The following is a 19,080-nucleotide window of genomic DNA, read 5'->3' as shown; positions in this document are numbered from 1 at the left end:
TATCAGGTCCTGGACTTTCCTTTCATGGGAGACTTATTATTATTATTTAGATCTTACTCATTATTTGTCTGTTTTTCTATTTCTTTGTTTCAATTTTAGTAGATTGTATTTTTCCAGGAATTTATCCATTACTTGTAGGTTTTCCAGTTCATTGGCATGTAGCTGTTGATAGTAGTCTCTAGTGATCCTTTCTATTTTTCTGGTACCAGTTGTAATGTTTCCTTTTTTGTCTCTGATTTTACCTATTTGGGTTTTCCAGCATGTTGGTATTGTCTATCTTTAAAAAAAAAAAAAAAACTTTTTCATTTTATTGATCTTTTGTGGTTTTTTAGTCTCCATTTTATTTATTTCTGTTCTGATCTTTATTATTTTTTTTATTCTACAAATTTTAGGTTTGATTTGTTCTTGCTTTTCTGGTTCCTTGAAGTGTATCATTAGGTTATTTATTTGAAGCCTGTATTTTTTTGACATAGGCATTTATTGCTATAAACTTCCCTCTTAGTCCTACTTTTGCTGTATCCCATAGGTTCTGGTATATTGTGTTTCCATTTTCATTTGTTTTAAGAGTTTTTAAAAAATTTCTCTCATAATTTCTTCATTGACCCATTGGTCATTTGGGAGCATGTTGTTTAATTTCCATGTATTTGTACAGTTTTCAAAGTTCCTCTTTGCAAAGATTCTAGTTTTATTCCATTGTGGTCAGAAAATATACTTAATATGATTTCTATTCTTTTAAATTTGTTGAGACTTTTTGGTGACCTAACATATGCCCTATGCTGGAGAATGTTCCATGCACTGATGAGAAAAATGTGTGTTCTGCAGTAGTTGGATGAAATGCTCATAAATGTCTGTTAGGTCCATTTGGTCTAGAGTATAGTTTAACTGCAATGTTTCTTTGTTAATTTTCTGCCTGGATAATCTATCTATTGCCAAAAGCAAGGTGCTGAAGTCCCTTACTATTACTGTATTGCAGTCTACCTCTCCCTTTATTTCTGTTAACATTTGTTTTGTATATTTGGGTGTTCTGGTGTTAGGTACATATATATTTATTAATGTAATATCGTCTTGCTGAATTGATATCTTTATAATTATATAATGGCCTTTTTTGTCTCTTTTTATAGTTTTTGACTTAAAGTCTATTTTATGTGCTATAAATATAGCTATTCCTGCTCTTTTTAAAGTTCCATTTGCATGGAGTATCTTTTTCCATCTCTTCACTTTTACTCTATGGGTATCTTTATAGGTGAGATAAGTTTCTTGTAGGCAGCATATATTTGGGTCTTGTTTTTTAATCCATTCAGCCATTCTATGTCTTAATTGGAGAATTTAGTTGATTTACATTCAATGTTATTATTGATAGGTAAGGACTTAATACTGTCGTTTTACTTGTTTGCTTGTTGTTTTGTAACCCTGTCTTCCTTTCTTACTCTCTTTATTTGTGGTTGTGATTTTCTCTGGTAGTGTGTTTTAACTCATTGCTTTTGATTTTTATTATATTTTAGGTTTTTGCTTTGGGTTACTATAGTGCTTACAAAAACATTTTATAGTTATAAGAAGTTACCTATAACTAAGCTAATGTTTTTGTAAGCACTCCTGTAGTCCCAGCTAATTGAAGGCTAACGTGGGAAGATCTCTAGAGCCCAGCAGGTCAAGGCTGCAGTGATCTGTGATTGCACCACTGCACTCCAGCTTAGGTGACAGAGTGAGACCTTGTCTCAAACACACACAGACACACACACACACTGATAGCAACCTAACTTTGATCACAAAAACAAGAGAAAAGAAACAAATACAAAACATGTACACATTAACTCCATTCTCCCCCTACATTTTGAATTTCTGATGTTACAAAAAATAATAAAAGAATTTACTTTTAAATTTGATAATGTTTTCTTTCATAGAGGCAGAAAAGCATGTAAATCAAAGATTGACCTGTTCTTGTGGTAGTCAGTTTGTCTGTGAGTCCATTTGGCACTCCAGCATATATCATATTGGAAGAGTTTCAGATTTTTGAATTTACATTTCCATGATAGCTAATGAGGGTGAGTACTTTTTCATAATTTGAGTAACTTCTGAAATTTCTGCTCTTGTCTATTGCCCATCTTGATGTTTGGTTTCCAGCCTTTTTCTTACTGGTTTGTAGAAGTTTTAAGATAAATTCCAGATACCAGTACCTTTGACATATGGCACATATCTTCTTCCACTCTGTGGATTGTCTCATTAGTCTCTTAATATGGTCTTTTTGCTGGAAAAAAATTCTAATTTTAATGTAATTTAACAATCTTTTGTGGTTAGTGTTGTAGTGTCCTACTAAAGGAATCTTTTCCTACCCCAAAGTTATGAAATATTCTCCTATGTTATCTTCTAGAAATTTAATTCTTTTGCCTTTTACCTTTTGATCTACAGCCCACCTACAATTGATTTTTATGTAAAGTTGAAGGTAGAAATCAAGTTTGTCTTTTCTTCTCCATAGGACTATCCAGTTGACCCATCATCATTTAGTGAAAAGACCATTTATTAATTTTTTCTTGCTGTGTAACAAATGAACACAAGCTTAGTATCTTAAAACAACACCCTTTTATTAACTCACAGTATGTAGGTAAGGAGTTCATGCTCAAATCAAGTTGTCAGCCAGGCTCTTCTTGTCTGGAGGCTCTGGGAAAAAAAAATCCAATTCCGAAATTGCTCAGATTGTTGGCAAGACATCCATTTTGTGTGGCTTTAGACTGAGGTCCATGTTTTCTTGCTGGCTGTCAGCCAGGGTGCTTCTCTACTCATATATATATATATATGTATATATACTTAAAGTTCTAGGGTACATCTACACAACGTGCAGGTTTGTTACATAGGTATACATGTGCCATGTTGGTTTACTGCACTGATTAACTCATCATTTACATTGGGAATTTCTCCAAATGCTATCCCTCCCCCAACCCCCCACCCCACGACAGGCCCCACTGTGTGATGTTCCCCTCCCTGTGTCCAAGTGTTCTCATTGTTCAATTCCCACCTATGAGTGAGAACATGTGGTGTTTGGTTTTCTGTCCTTGTGATAGTTTGCTCGGAATGATGGTTTCCAGCTTCATCCATGTCCCTGCAAAGGACATTAACTCATCCTTCTTTATGGCTGCATAGTATTCCATGGTGTAGATGTGCCACATTTTCTTAATCTAGTCTATCATTGATGGACATTTGGGTTGGTTCCAAGTCTTTGCTATTGTGAACAGTGCTGCAATAAATATACGTGTGCATGTGTCTTTATAGTAGCATGATTTATAATCCTTTGGGTATCTACCCAGTAATGGGATCGCTGGATCAAATGGTATTTCTAGTTCTAGATCCTTGAGGAATTGCCACACTGTCTTCCGCAATGGTTGAACTAATTTACACTCCAACAAACAGTGTAAAAGCATTCCAATTTCTCCATATCCTCTCCAGCATCTGTTGTTTCCTGATTTTTTAATGATCGCCATTCTAACTAGTGTGAGATGGTATCTCATTGTGGTTTTGATTTGCATTTCTCTGATGACCAGTGATGATGAGCATTTTTTCATGTGTCTGTTGGCTGCATAAATGTCTTCTTTTGAGAAGTGTCTGTTCATATCCTTCACCCACTTGTTGATGGGGTTGTTTGTTTGTCCTCTCTCACTTCCTTGAGCAGTGGTTCGTAGTTCTCCTTTAAGAGGTCCCTCACATCCCTTGTAAGTTGTATTCCTAGGTATTTTATTCTCTTTGTAGCAATTGTGAATGGGAGTTCACTCATGATTTGGCTCTCTGTTTGCCTGTTATTGAGGATAGGAATGCTTGGGATTTTTGCACATTGATTTTGTATCCTGAGACCTTGCTGAAGCTGCTTGTCAGCTTAAGGAAATTTTGGGCTGAGACAATGGGGTTTTCTAAATATACAATCATGTCATCTGCAAACAGGGACAATTTGACTTCCTCTTTTCCTAATTGAATACCCTTTATTTCTTTCTCCTGCCTGATTGCCCTGGCCAGAACTTCCAACACTATGTTAAATAGGTGTGGTGAGATAGGGCATCCCTGTCTTGTGCCGGTTTGCAAAGGCATTGCTTCCAATTTTTGCCCATTCAGTGTGATACTGGCTGTGGGTTTGTCATAAGTAGTTCTTATTATTTTCAGATACGTTCCATCAATACCTAGTTTATTGAGAGTTTTTAGCATGAAGGGCTGTTGAATTTTGTCAAAGGCCTTTTCCGCATCTATTGAGATAATCATGTGGTTTTTGTCGTTGGTTCTGTTTATGCGATGGATTACATTTATTGATTTGCATATGTTGAAACAGCCTTGCGTCCCAGGGATGAAGCCAACTTGATCGTGGAGGATAAGCTTTTTGATGTGCTGCTGGATTCGGTTTGCCAGTATTTTATTGAGGATTTTTGCACTGATGTTCATCAGCGATATTGGTCTAAAATTCTTTTTTTGTTGTGTCTCTGCCAGGCTTTGGTATCAGGATGATGTTGACCTCATAAAATGAGTTAGGGAGGATTCCCTCTTTTTCTATTGATTGGAATAGTTTCAGAAGGAATGGTACCAGCTCCTCTTTGTACCTCTGGTAGAATTCGGCTATGAATCTGTCTGGTCCTGGACTTTTTTTGGTTGGTAGGCCATTGATTATTGCCTCAATTTCAGATCCTGTTATTGGTCTATTCAGAGATTCCACTTCTTCCTGGCTTAGTCTTGGGAGGGTGTATGTGTCCAGGAATTTATCCATTTCTTCTAGATTTTCTAGTTTATTTGCGTAGAAGTGTTTATAGTATTCTCTGATGGTAGTTTGTATTTCTGTGAGATTGGTGGTGATATCCCCTTTATCATTTTGTATTGCATCTATTTGATTCTTCTCTCTTTTCTTCTTTATTAGTCTTGCTAGCAGTCTATCAATTTTGCTGATCTTTTCAAAAAACCAGCTCCTGGATTCATTGATTTTTTGAAGGGTTTTTTGTGTCTCTACCTCTTTCAGTTCTGCTCTGATCTTAGTTATTTCTTGCCTTCTGCTAGCTGTCGAATTTGCTTGCTCTTGCTTCTCTAGTTCTTTTAATTGTGACATTAGGGTGTTGATTTTAGATCTTTCCTGCTTTCCTGTGTGGGTATTTAGTGCTACAAATTTCCCTCTACACACTGCTTTAAATGTGTCCCAGAGATCCTGGTACGTTGTGTCTTTGTTCTCATTGGTTTCAAAGAACATCTTTATTTCTGCCTTCATTTCATTATTTACCCAGTAGTCATTCAGGAGCAGGTTGTTCAGTTTCCATGTAGTTGTGTGATTTTGACCAAGTTTCTTAATCCTGAGTTCTAATTTGATTGCACTGTGGTCTGAGAGACAGTTTGTTGTGATTTCCATTCTTTTACATTTGCTGAGGAGTGCTTTACTTCCAACTATGGGGTCAATTTTGGAATAAGTGCCATGTGGTGCTGAGAAGAAGGTATATTCTGTTGATTTGGGGTGGAGTGTTCTGTAGATGTCTATTAGGTCTGCTTGGTGCAGAGCTGAGTTCAAGTCCTGGATATGCTTGTTAACCTTCTGGCTCATTGATTTGTCTAATATTGACAGTGGGGTGTTAAAGTCTCCCATTATTATTGTGTGGGAGTCTAAGTCTCTTTGTAGGTCTCTAAGGACTTCCTTTATGAATCTAGGTGCTCCTGTATTGGTTGCATATATATTTAGGATAGTTAGCTCTTCTTGTTGAATTGATCCATTTACCGTTACGTAATGGCCTTGTCTCTTTTGATCTTTGTTGGTTTAAAGTCTGTTTCATCTGAGATGAGGATTGCAATCCCTGCTTTTTTTTGCTTTCCATTTGCTTGGTAGATCTTCCTCCATCCCTTTATTTTGAGCCTATGTGTGTCTCTGCACGTGAGATGGGTCTCCTGAATACAGCACACTGATGGGTCTTGACTCTATCCAATTTGCCAGTCTGTGTCTTTTAATTGGGGCATTTAGTCCATTTACATTTAAGGTTAATATTGTTAGGTGTGAATTTGATCCTGTCATTATGATGTTAGCTGGTTATTTTGCCCATTACTTGATGCAGTTTCTTCATAGGATTGATGGTCTTTACAATTTGGCATATTTTTGCAGTGGCTGGTACCGGTTGTTTCTTTCCATGTTTAGTGCTTCCTTCAGGAGCTCTTGTAAGGCAGGCCTGGTGACAAAATCTCTCAGCATTTGCTTGTCTGTAAAGGATTTTATTTCTCCTTCATTTACGAAGCTTAGTTTGGCTGTATATGAAATTCTGGGTTGAAAATTCTTTTCTTTAAGAATGTTGAATATTGGCCCCCACTCTCTTCTGGCTTGTAGAGTTTCTGCTGAGAGATCCGCTGTTAGTCTGATGGGCTTCCCTTTGTGGGTAAGCTGACCTTTCTCTCTGGCTGCCCTTAACATTTTTTCCTTCATTTCAACCTTGGTGAATCTGACAATTATGTGTCTTGGGGTTGCTCTTCTCGAGGAGTATCTTTGTGGTGTTCTCTGTATTTCCGGAATTTGAATGTTGGCCTGCCTTGCTAGGTTGGGAAAGTTCTCCTGGATAATATCCTGAAGACTGTTTTCCAACTTGGTTTCATTCTCCCCATCACTTTCAGGTACACTAATCAAACATAGATTTGGTCTTTTCACATAGTCCCATATTTCTTGGAGGCTTTGTTCATTTCTTTTTACTCTTTTTTTCTCTAAACTTCTCTTCTCACTTTATTTCATTAATTTGATCTTCAATCACTGATACCCTTTCTTCCACTTGACCAAATCGGCTATTGAAGCTTGTGCAGGCATCACGTAGTTCTTGTGCCATGGTTTTCAGCTCCATCAGGTCATTTAAGGTCTTCTCTACACTGTTTATTCTAGTTAGCCATTCACCTAATCTTTTTTCAAGGTTTTTAGCTTCCTTGTGATGGGTTTGAACATCCTCCTTTAGCTTGGAGAAGTTTGTTATTACCGACCTTCAGAAGCCTACTTCTGTCAACTCATAATGTCATTCTCTGTCCAGCTTTGTTCCATTGCTGGCGAGGAGCTGCAATCCTTTGGAGTAGAAGAGCCACTCTGGTTTTTAGAATTTTCAGCTTTTCTGCTCTGGTTTCTCCCCATCTTTGTGATTTTGTCTACCTTTCATCTTTGATGTTGGTGACCTACAGATGGGGTTTTGGTGTGGATGTCCTTTTGGTTGATGTTGATGCTATTCCTTTCTGTTTGTTAGTTTTCCTTCTAACAGTCAGGTCTCTCAGCCGCAGGTCTGTTGGAGTTTGCTGGAGGTCCACTCCAGACCCTGCTTGCCTGGGTATCACCAGCGGAGGCTGCAGAACAGCAAATATTGCTGCCTGATCCTTCCTCTGGAAGCTTTGTCCCAGAGGGGCACCCACCTGTATGAGGTGTCTGCTGGCCTCTACTGGGAGGTGTCTCCCAGTACATGGGGGTCAGGGACCCACTTGAGGAGGCAGTCTGTCCGTTCTCAGAGCTCAAATGCTGTGCTGGGAGAACCACTGCTGTCTTCAGAGCTGTCAGACAGGAACATTTAAGTCTGCAGAAGTTTCTGCTGCCTTTTGTTCAGCTATGCCCTGCCCTCAGAGGTGGAGTCTATAGAGGCAGCAAGCCTTGGTGCTGCAGTGGGCTCTGCCCTGTTTGAGCTTTCTGGCCGCTTTGTTTGCCTACTCAAGACTCAGCAATGGTGGACGCCCCTCCCCCTGCCGGGCTGCTGCCTTGCAGGTCAATCTCAGACTGCTGCGCTAGCAGTGAGCAAGGCTCTGTGGGCGTGGGACCCGCTGAGCCAGGCGCAGGATGTAATCTTCTGGTGGGCCATTAGCTAAGACCATTGGAAAAGTGCAGTATTTGAGCAAGAGTGTCCCATTTTTCCAGGTACAGTCTGTCATGGCTTCTCTTGGCTAGGAAAGGGAAATCCCCTGACCCTTGTGTTTCTGGGGTGAGGCGATGCCCCGCCCTGCTTTGGCTCACCCTCCCTGGGCTGCACCCACTGTCCAACCAGTCCCAATGAGATGAACCAGGTACCTCAGTTGGAAATGCAGAAATCACCCGTCTTCTCTGTCAATCATGCTGGAAGCTGCAGACCGGAGCTGTTCCTATTCGGCCATCTTGGAACGGACCACTTCTCTACTCTTTTTTTTTTTTTTTGATACGGACTCTCGCTCTGTCGCCGAGGCTAGAGTGCAGTGGCGCAATCTCGGCCCACTTCAAGCTCCACCTCCCGGGTTCACACCATTCTGCCTCAGCCTCCCGAGTAGCTGGGACTACAGGCGCCCACCACCACGCCTGGCTAATTTTTTGTATTTTTAGTAGAGACAGGGTTTCACCATGTTAGCCAGGATGGTCTCGATCTCCTGACCTTGTGATCCGCCCGTCTCAGCCTCCCAAAGTGCTGGGATTACAGGCGTGACACTTCTCTACTCTTTAAAGGCCACTCTCAGGTCCTTTCCATGTGAGTTCCATCTTCATACCTACTATGGTGCATTTAATCCTTCTAGTGCTCCAAATCTCTGACTTCCTTTCTGCAACCAACCAGAGAAAACTCAGATTTTAAAGGGCACATGTGAATAGGTTAGGCTGGGCCCACTAGCATAATCCTCCCTTCTTAAAGTCAACTCTGCCAGATAACATGACCTATCATAGGAGTAATATGTCATATTCACAGGGTCAAATATTTGAAAGACGTCTTAGAATTCTGCTTACCACAAACTGTCTTTTTCCCACTGTTTTGAAGTGCTACCTATGCCAAAAACAAAATAGTCATATATATGTGTATATATATGTATATGTGTATAATATATATGTATATATATGTATAATATATGTGTATATATGTATAATATATATGTGTATATATATGTATAATATATATGTGTATATATATGTATACTATATATCTATATATATATATCTATATATATATATACACACACACACACACACACACCCCTATATATATATAGTCCGGGGTGAGTCATATATATAGTCATTTCTGGGAAGAGTTTATGTAGAATCAATATTTCTTCCTTAATTGTTCATTGAATTGACTAATGAAATCATCTTGGCCTGGGGTTTTCTTTGTGAAGAGATTTTAAATTACAAATTCCATTTCTTTAATATATGTAAGACTATTCAGGGTATCTGTTTCTTTTTGAGTAAGCTTAACATTTTTGTCTTTGTGCAGACTTTGTCCATTTTGTCCAAGGTGTCTACATTCATGACATAAAGTTTTTCACAAAATTATGTGATTATCCTTTTGATATCTGGAATCTGCAGAGATGTCACCTCTCTCTTTCCTGATATTTGTAATATCTTAATATCTTTTGTCTTCTCACATTTTTTTCCCTGATCAATCTGGCTAAACACTTATCAATTTGATTGTTTTATTGAAGAACCAGCTTTTAGTTCCATTTATTTTCTTGATTATTTTATTGGCTTCAATTTCATTAATTAATTGCATTAATTTCTGGTGTGAACTTTATTTCCTGCCTACTTCAGAGTTAACTGCTCTTCTCTTTCTAGTTTCTTGCAATGGAAACTGAAATAATTGATTTTGTAATGTAAGTTTTTAGCGTTATAAATTTCTCTCTAACTACTGCTTTGGCCCTGTCCCACAAAGTCTGATATCTTGGAGTGTGACTTGCTTCTTTCACTTAGCATAATGTTTTCAGGGTTTTTTCATGGTTTAGCATGTGCCAGTGCTTCATTACTTTTTATTGATGAATAATATTTCGTTGCATGACTTTACCATGTTTTGTCTTTCCATTCATCAATTGGTGGACATTCAGATTGTTTGCACTCTTTGACTATTATGAATAATATTGCTGTAAACACTCATGTACAAGTTTTTTGTGGACTTATGTTTCTAATTCTCTTGTCTATAGGTGGAATTGCTGGGTAATATGGTAACTCTGTATTTAATATTTTAGGGAACTGCCAAACAGTTTTCCAAAGTTCCTGTACCAGTTTATAATTCTAACAACAAGACATGAGGGTTACAGTTTCTCCACATCTTGTCAACACTGGTTATTGTTTGTCTTTTTTTATTATAGCCATCCTAGTGAAGTAGTATCTCATTGTGGTTTTGATTATATTTCCTTGATGACTAATGATGTTGAACATCTTTTCACATGCTTATTGGCCATTTGTACAGATTGAATATCCCTTATCTGAAATGCTTGAGATGAGAAGTGTTTAGGATATGGGATTTTTTTTGGATTTGGAAATATTTGCATATACATAATGAGATATTTTGGGAATGGGACCCAAGTCTAAACACAAAATTTACTTATATTTTATATACACCTCATACACATAGCCTGAAGGTAACTGCACAATATTTTTAATTTTGTGCATGAAGAAAGTTTTGACTGCAACCCATTACATATAGTCATGTGTGAAATTTTCCACTTGTAGCATCATGTTGGCACTCAAAAAGCTGAATTTTGGAAGATTTCAGATTTTATGTTTTTACATTAGGGATACTCAACCTGTACATCTTCTTAAGAAGATATTTAGAAATGTCTGTTGCAATCCTTTGCCCATTTTCAATCAGATTGTCTTTATTATTGATTTGTAAGAGTTCTTTATATATTATGGCTAGAGATCTTTATCAGACATATGATCTTTTCCCATTCTTTAGATTGTCTTTTTACTTTCTTGATGGTGTCCTTTAAAGCATAAAAGTGTTAGTTTTGATGAAGTCCAATTTATTTATTTATTTTTGTCACTTGTGCTTTTGATGTCATAGTTACAAACCATTCTGTAATCTAAGGTCACAAAGATGTATTTCTCTTTCCTACTGAGAGTTTTATAGTTTTAGTTGTTACATTTAGGGCTATGATCCATTCTGAATTTATTTCCTATGTCATGTGAGGTAGTGATCCAGCTTCCTTCTTTTGCACATGTATATCCACTTGTCCAAGTTCCAGTTGTTGAATGTTTATTAATTTTATTATCTTTGTCATTTCTGCATCAGTTTTGACTGATCAGTTTTTCTCCTCATTTGGGTTGTATTTTCTTGCATTGCATGCATGATAATTTTTTATTGGATAGCTTACATTCTGAATTTTACCTTGTCAGATGCTGGATATTTTTGTACTTCTATAAATATTATTGAGCTGTGTTATGGGACACAGTTTTGTTATTTGGAGACGGTTTGATACTTTCTGGTCTTGCTTCTAGGCTGTTAGTTGGTACCAGAATGGCATTTGGTTTAGGGCTAATTTTACTCCACCACCAAGGCAAAAACCTCTCTGAGTTCTCTAGTTACCAGTCCCCAACCTTTTTGGAACCAGGGACCGGTTTTGTGGAAGACACTTTTTCCCTGGACCAGGCTGGGGGAATGGTTTGGGGATGATTCAAGCACATTACATTTATTGTGTACTTTATTTCCATTATTATTAAATGTTAATATATAATGAAATAATTATACAACTCACCATAATGTAGAAAAGTGGGAGGGAGCCCTGAGCTTCTTTTCCTGCAGCTAGACAATCCCATCTGAGGGTGATGGGGGACAGTGACAGATGATCAGGCATTAGATTATCATAAGGAGCACGCAACCTAGATCCCTTGCATGCTCAGTTCACAATATGGTTTGCACTCCTCTGAGAATCTAATGCTGCCAGTGATCTGACAGGCGGTGGAGCTTAGGCAGTAATGCAAGCAATGGGGAATGCCTGTAAATACAGATAAAGCTTCACTTGCTTGCCTGCTGCTCACCTCCTGCCGTGTGACACAGTACTGGTGCTGCTCTAGTGGATGCATTGTTGGTTGTGACGTTCTCTGGTGGACTGGTAGAAACAGTGACTATTCTCAATTCAGGGATTATTCCCTCTAATTCTTTCAGATGATTCCTTCACCCAGCTTCTCAAAATTTCTCATACAATTGTGCTGATCTGCACCTAGCTGAAATTCAGGGGGTCCCCTCTGCAGATCTCTGGAGCGTTCTCTCACTCACTACAGCTTTCTCCTTCTACAACTCTGCCCTACCAAAAACCACTGCGGTAGCCTCCCCAAACTATCACCTCTATCTCCTTGATTACAAATGCATTGTTTTAATCAGGTGTGTTAACATGGCAAGCATGGAGACAACTGCCTTTGAAAGAAGAGCTACTTAGAATTCTTGAAAGGAGGGGGCATTGCACACTAGGCAGGGCCTCATGGGGAAGCACCCAGTTGGGGAAGGAGGCAGAAGGAGCACAGGAGAGCATGGCCCAGAGCCTTCATTGTGGTCCCCATGGGAAGGAAGGGATGAGGCAGTTTAGGCAGCTGAGCAGGTTTAGTTAGGATTGGCTGGTATGAAAAATTTTGGTGGGCTTTGAGCTATAGGAGTAGTTCCTAGATGTCTTGTGTCCAGCCCTGAAATAATTCCCAGCAGGATTTAGAGTGATTTAGAGTATTTGGCTTGTTGTGTGAGAGTTTTCTAAGGGAGGTGGTTGGTGGGTATGGCCTTTGGATTGGTTGTTTGCTCAATATGAAAGAAATGTTCACCGTGGAATCATTTGCTATCTCTAAGAATTTAGCTAGTCATGGGAGGGGCAGCCTCTCCCCGACAAGCAAGGCCTCCAAGATGTCAAAGCATCATAAAATGAAGACAATAAAAAACAATTAATGCACTTATCAACTGAGGGAGATTACCAAGCTCTGCTTGTACTTCTCCTTCTTGCACTGTAGCCTGAAAACTTTTCAAATGATAAGCTGAGACAATCATAAGACTCCTCTCATTCGTTTCTCTTTTCTCAGGGATTGCTGTCTTTTTGTTGCCCAATATCCAGTGTCTTGAAAACTTTTTTCTTCATGTATTTTATCTTTTTTTTTTTTTTTAGTTGTTTCAGGATTTTAGGTAGGAGGGTAAATCCAGTCCCTCTTACTCCATCTTGTTCAGAAGTAGAACTATGGAAAATCATTTCCATTTGAAATTAAAATTCAGTTGAGATTTTTGGGAACCAATAACAGTTTAAACAGGTTTGGCTTCTATATCGATAATTCAGCAGTCTTTATTAACAGATTGGAGTGTTAGAGCAAGGTAGCGAAAAGACAGAGCATCTAAGCCAAGACAAAGGATGGGTGGGAAGACTTCAAGTAGACAGAATGCCATGAACAAAATGGCTGAGGATGCAAATTTTATGTGTTTAGAGGATAAGTAGCTCACATTCACTGGAAAGCATGAGTCTTTAAATGAAGCCAAGCTTCAACATAGGTTGGGATCAGATTTTGTAGAGAAGGCTAATGGGAGTTATAAAGAAAATGAGAATTTCTCTTTCAATAAAATCTGTCTTTTCCTCATGGTGTTCCCCAAACTTTTTTTTCTCCTAAGCCCCCACTAATATTCATTTTTCATTCCTTCACCTTCTCCTAATATCTAATCCATTTCTTAGCTCTGTAAGGTCGGCCTTATTTGTAGCTCTAGAAAGAACTTCACTGCTCAGTAAGGTAGACATTAGCCATATGTGGCTATTTAAATGTAAATGAATTAAATAAAATTGAAATTTCAGTTCCTTATTGCCCTGGCCACATTTCAGGTGTTCAAGAGGCACATCTAGCCAAGGGCCTTTGTATTGGTTGGATAGCACAGGGAACATTTCCACCATCACAGAAAGTTATATTGCATAGCACTACTCTAGAATGTGCTCAGAGGCAAAATTTTAAATTTCATATGCGGTATAACTATGTGAAAACTAAGACTTAACAATAAAATTTTAAAGATTTAAATGAAGTCATCAAAATAGTAATATTGATTATTTTTCACTAAGTTCTTGCTAATCATTTCTTCTACTCATATAATTTCTGCATTTTATATACAGAGCACATGTTTATAGTAGGAAAAATTATGTCTTTGATCATTTATTCTTTTTCATACTATAAGCACTTTAAGTCTCATTCTCTCCCCCACTAGACAATATAATAGTATTCTAACTAGTCTCTTAGAAAATAATACAAATTGAAAAAGAGAAAGGCTATAGAAGAAAAATGACAGAGGATTAGTCTAAGAGAGCCAATACCCTACTAGTAGGAGTTCCAGAAAGAGGGGATGGAGAAAACAGGGGAAGAAATTACCAAAGAAATAATAAAAGAAAATTTTCCAGAAAGAAAGTTGGTAAGTCCAAACAGTGAATGGGCCCACTGGATTTCCAGTCTAATTAAGGAATAGAAGACTTGTATTAGGGCATATTCCTATGAAACTTCAGGATTCTAGAGCTAAGACAGCTGAGTTTGAGGATAAGGAGATGGGATAGGGGCAGGACAAAGGGAAGTAGTCACATTCCAAGAAACTAAAATTGAAATCATAAACCTTGGATGCTGGAAGATAATAAACTTGAGGGTAAGCCCCTTTCAGCTTAAAATTCTATATACAGCCAAACTATGTGATTCATGTGGGAAAAGAAACAAAAATTAGACATGTAAACATCTATAAAAATTCCTGTGTATCTTTTTATTAGTTACTGGAAAATGTGCTTCAGTAAAGTAAGGGAATAAACCAAGAATGAGAAAGTCATGAACAGAATCCATAAAACAGGGAATCCAGTCCAGAGAAGTGGCAAAGGGAAGTCCAAGGATGACAGCTATGCAGCAGGCCTGGAGAGCAACCCGTCCAAGATTGGATCAAAAGAATGGAAGGCTCTGTGGGGGGAGGGACAGAATAAATGAATTATTGGATGTGTTTGTACATTTGGGAATAAAATCTGATGCATTTTTGAAGAAAGAATTTTCATTGTCTACTCATGAGAAAAGAAAATCAAGTAAAGGCAACAAATAATTCTAGGAAAGACAAAATGATGTACAAAGAAAGAAACTATAACCTATTTGAAAGGGAGGCAGGGAAGTGAGAGGAGAAGAAAGGACAGGCAGATCACCTGGGATTCCATCAACCAGAGATAACGTGTTATTATTTTATTGTTTATCTTTTCAAATAAATCTGTACCATACACATAATGTATCTTTACAATAGTGGGATCATACTGTACTATTTCATGGTTTGTTTTTTGTCAGTTACTATTATTTTTAAATATGTATTTGACATTATATATTCTGCAGGATAATTTTTAATAGGTTATAGAATAATTAATTTAGTGAATAGACCATAATGTATTAATCAAATCTCTGTTGCTTTAATTTAGTTGGTCCTTATAAATTCCCTGAAATATAGTAAAACAAAGACAGTTCTGATTTTGGAACCGGGACTTAGAGTCTTATAGTCCAGCTTCTTAGTATATAACTGCGACTAAATATCCTGTTCTGATTTAGGAGATTAGGCCAAGAAAATGCAGAATATTTACTCCTATATGTACTCATGCTAATATCACAGACAGACAAGAATGATTAAAGTGCTACTTTTTAGGATTATATCATGGCTATATTTAAGGGAGCATCTCCTACCCTATTCTCTGTCTAGAGTGCTGCTAACCCAAGTATCTGCATGGTCCATTTTCTCATTTCATTCAAGTTCTTCTCTGTTCACACATCCCCTTATCAGGGAGGTCTTTTCAGTGAATTTTACATAAAATAGGCCACCTCTGTCACTGCACAGACTTATCTCCTAAGCTGATTTTATTTTTCTCCATAGCACTTTCTCACCATCTATCATCCCAACACTAAAATATAAGCTCAAGAATAGTGTTTCTGTCTTGTTTGTTGCTCCATCTCCAGCGCCTAAAATAAGGCCTGGCATAAAGTAAGTAGGTGCTCAGTCATCTTTGAATGAATAAACAAATGAATGAGTTAATTAACTGGGACTTAGAAAACAATAGGAACAACCCAAGAAGGCAGTGAAGGGAAATTCTAAGTCGACAGTGGTCCAGGTTAGAGCAGAAGGTCTCAGGGTCCTGGAAAGGAGGTCTCCAGGAAGAATTGACTCAGAAAAATATTGAGTAGAGTTAAGAGGGAAAAAAAGGTAACTGTAACGAAAACAAATGTTGGAGGACAGAGAATGGAAGTGTAAGAGTGGAAGTGTGGTTCTAGATACCACTTGGCTCAGCAGTGAACAATATTCAGAAGTAAAGGTGTAAGTATATTATTTAAGTAAGAATAGAATAATTCAAAATAAGATATAAACATGTTGAGAAGATGGCAGGAAGGAATGGTAGGGCTGTAAAAGGGAGCTAAATCCTCATCTTTCATAGCAACTCAGCAAGGGTAATCAATAAGTTATCAAGAAATGACAAGATGATCGTAAGTGTTTAGAGGTTTGAAGATAACTGGTGGAAGGACAGCTAAAAGAGTTCAGAGAGGCTTCCTCTAGGAAACGGGTCTAGAAATGGGAAATGATGGAAAAGAAAACTATGGTTTGGCACTACAACCATTTCTGTGATATTTGATATGAAACTATATATGTGTATGTGTGTTACCTTGATAAAACTTTAAACAAGGAAAGCAGAGGCAAAATGTAAAAATTAATAATCTGGGAGCTGGGTGCGGTGGCTCATGCCTGTAATCCCAGCACTTTGAGAGGCCAAGGCAGGCGGATCTTCTGAGGTCAGGAGTTCAAGACCAGCCTGACCAACATGGTGAAACCCTGTCTCTACTAAAAATACAAAATTAGCGGAGTGTGGTGGCGCATGCCTGTAATCCCAGCTACTCTGGAGGCTGAGGCAGGAGAATTGCTTGAACCTGGGAGGTGGCCGTGAGCCACGATCGTGCCATTGCCCTCCAGCCCGGGCAACAAAGAGCGAAACTCCATCTCAAAAAATAATAATAATCTGGAACTAAAATTCCAGATGGTTGAAGCAACAGGGATGGAGGCAGGATGGGAGGAAGGCATGGGGAAAGTGCAAGTATGCTAAGGTCATGCCTTGTTTAGATGAGTAATTCCAGACAGCAAGAGAAAATAAAAAGTAAGTTTGCAGTTTTTAGGTAAGGCTAACCACTAGATAAATAAAAATGGAATTTATACTTTCAGATTGTTAATGAAAAGAAATTTGTTAAATCCTGGGTGGGGAGGAAAATTCATCATTCACACTAAAGATAAGAGGCAGAAATAACAAGAAAGCGTAGGGTATATAAAGCAAGATGACTGGCGTCAGACCAAATAGCTTTGATCTCAATATATGTGAATATGTTTAGTCCTTCTATTTAAGAAACAGAGACTTTCAAACTGCATTTTTAAAGAAGTCCACTTACATGATTTCAAGAGACATACTTGAAACAAAATGACAAAAGATTGAAAATGAAGGGAAGGACAGATGCTGGCAAAAAAGAAAGCAAGATAAGAATAATAATACCAGCCAAAATGGAATTCAGGGTACAAAGCATTGAATGAAAATTTTCTTACCAGTACAAGAAAGCCACATAAACTCATGTTATCTCTGGCGTTCTTCCTCTTTCCTAGGTATTTGACATCTTGAAAGTGAGCATCACTTTGCTTATTTTGCAGCCAGTGTAATGGGACTAACCCTATTGAAAACTCCTGGAGAACTTTAAACGTATTTTTAAAGATAAATAATCCTTTTAGTTGTTTCCTTTAAAAAAAAAAAAGCCAGTATATTTTCATGTTAGTAACTGTTTGCATTTTCTTGGTATACATGATTTATTGGTAACAATTTGTACTTCTAAGCCTTAAATCGAAATAGCACATATTGGTCTGGTAAAATTGCACACATCATCTGCTGTGGTATCTGACATTGGGCTGTGGCACTGTTAAACTTTTGCTATGGAGAAGCCAGATGAGGTTGGAAGAAGGTTCTTTTAAATGAAATGCTCTTGTTTCCAGAGACTGTGTGCATGTTGCCTGACTCACATTCCTCTGTTGGCCTCACCAGTATCTCTCATCAGATAGCACGTGCCAAAAGAAAGGAGGAACATGAATTTACTAAAATTAATTTGAAATTTGTGTTTGTTCTATATATTCTAAATGTTTGACTTTTTATTTTTTAAATGTAGCTAATGCTGCCTACCTTGGGGGCCAAGAAATGATGGAGGTGGTGAAGAGAGATGACGAAACCATAAAGGAGCATTTATGTAAGGTAATCACTTTAGTGCTGCAAGGGGATAGATAATAAGTAGATGGGCAGAGATACGAGGGCAAAGGACTAGAACTAGTTAGAATCTGTAAGACTTTAAGGGTTGGTAGAATGACATAGAGTTCTACTTCCAGTTAAAATTGAAATTATCCCTGAAAGTTGTGTAGAGAGTAGTAAAGCTAATTGCATAATAACTTATTTTTTTATCACCTGTTTTTGTTGAATTAATTTTAGAATCAATACTTTTCTATTTTGTCAATGCATTTTAGCCTCTCTAGGCCTTCTACTGAGAAAACTCCATAATATTTATAGAATAAATAATGTTGGAATATAAATGAAACAGTGGAAAATACATTATATGTTATATGATCTCATGACTAGTGAGCCTTTCTTATTCTCTAATGTGTTAGAGTAGGAATGTCCTGCTCTGACCCTAAGACCAGTTTTGTGAAATATTCAACATTTGGGAGTTATGCTGCAAATACTAGAATCTTGCACACACACATCTGGAAGCACCAATCTCTGAAACTATAAGAGTAGGGTTTAGTATATGTCTAAGGTCACCCTAGAATTTGGATGACTGTGGTACTCCTGTGGCATCATTTGTCTGGCTGTCCGTTCTGAGTAGGACAGAACTGTACTAATATTATAGCCACTAGCCACATGTGGTTATTTGTGGCTAGCCTTAATTGAGTTGTGCCATAAGTGTAAAACACACATTGGATTTCAAAAGTTTAGTTCCCCCAGAAGCAAAGTATTTCATTAATTTTTATATTGATTACCTGTTGAAATACTACCTTAGATATAGTGGATTAAGTAAAACATATTATTAAAAGTAATTTCACCCATTCCTTTATAATTTTTTAAACATTGTAACTAGGAAATTCTAAAATTGCATATGTACCTTGCTTTATGCTTCTGTTGGACAGCATTAGTCTTAAACTTTACAATTGGTGCTGAACTATGATACCTGCTGAAATGATCCCTGCTGAGTGGCAAACTCTCATAGGACTCAGGAGCAATCCACAAGTGAAATACGAGATAACCCACTGGACTTAGAATGTCTTTATAAACCTTGATACATTTGACTTAAACTTTTCTACATTGTTAATTCTTAATTCCATAACCTCC

The 19,080-nt window shown here is 37.7% G+C and overlaps 1 protein-coding gene across 26 annotated transcripts in view; it reads left to right on the top strand.

Annotated features, from left to right (window-relative positions):
* LDAH (lipid droplet associated hydrolase) overlaps positions 1 to 19,080 on the top strand; it is a 140,613-nt gene that overhangs the window by 103,580 nt on the left and 17,953 nt on the right. For all 26 annotated transcript variants that reach the window (XR_007079565.1, XR_007079563.1, XR_001738874.2 and 23 more), the window contains one exon: positions 17,870 to 17,952. Coding sequence is in view for 9 of the 26 variants with exons in the window: in NM_001282722.2 (NP_001269651.1) it covers positions 17,870 to 17,952 (83 nt within the window). In the remaining 17 variants the exon portion in view is untranslated. Of the gene's footprint in view, positions 1 to 17,869; positions 17,953 to 19,080 lie in introns of those variants that run through there.

This window comes from Homo sapiens, chromosome 2 (genome assembly GCF_000001405.40).
Source record: "Homo sapiens chromosome 2, GRCh38.p14 Primary Assembly".
NCBI lineage: Eukaryota > Metazoa > Chordata > Mammalia > Primates > Hominidae > Homo > Homo sapiens.
Note: the sequence above shows the minus strand (reverse complement) of the source record. Positions and strands in the feature narration are given on the sequence as shown.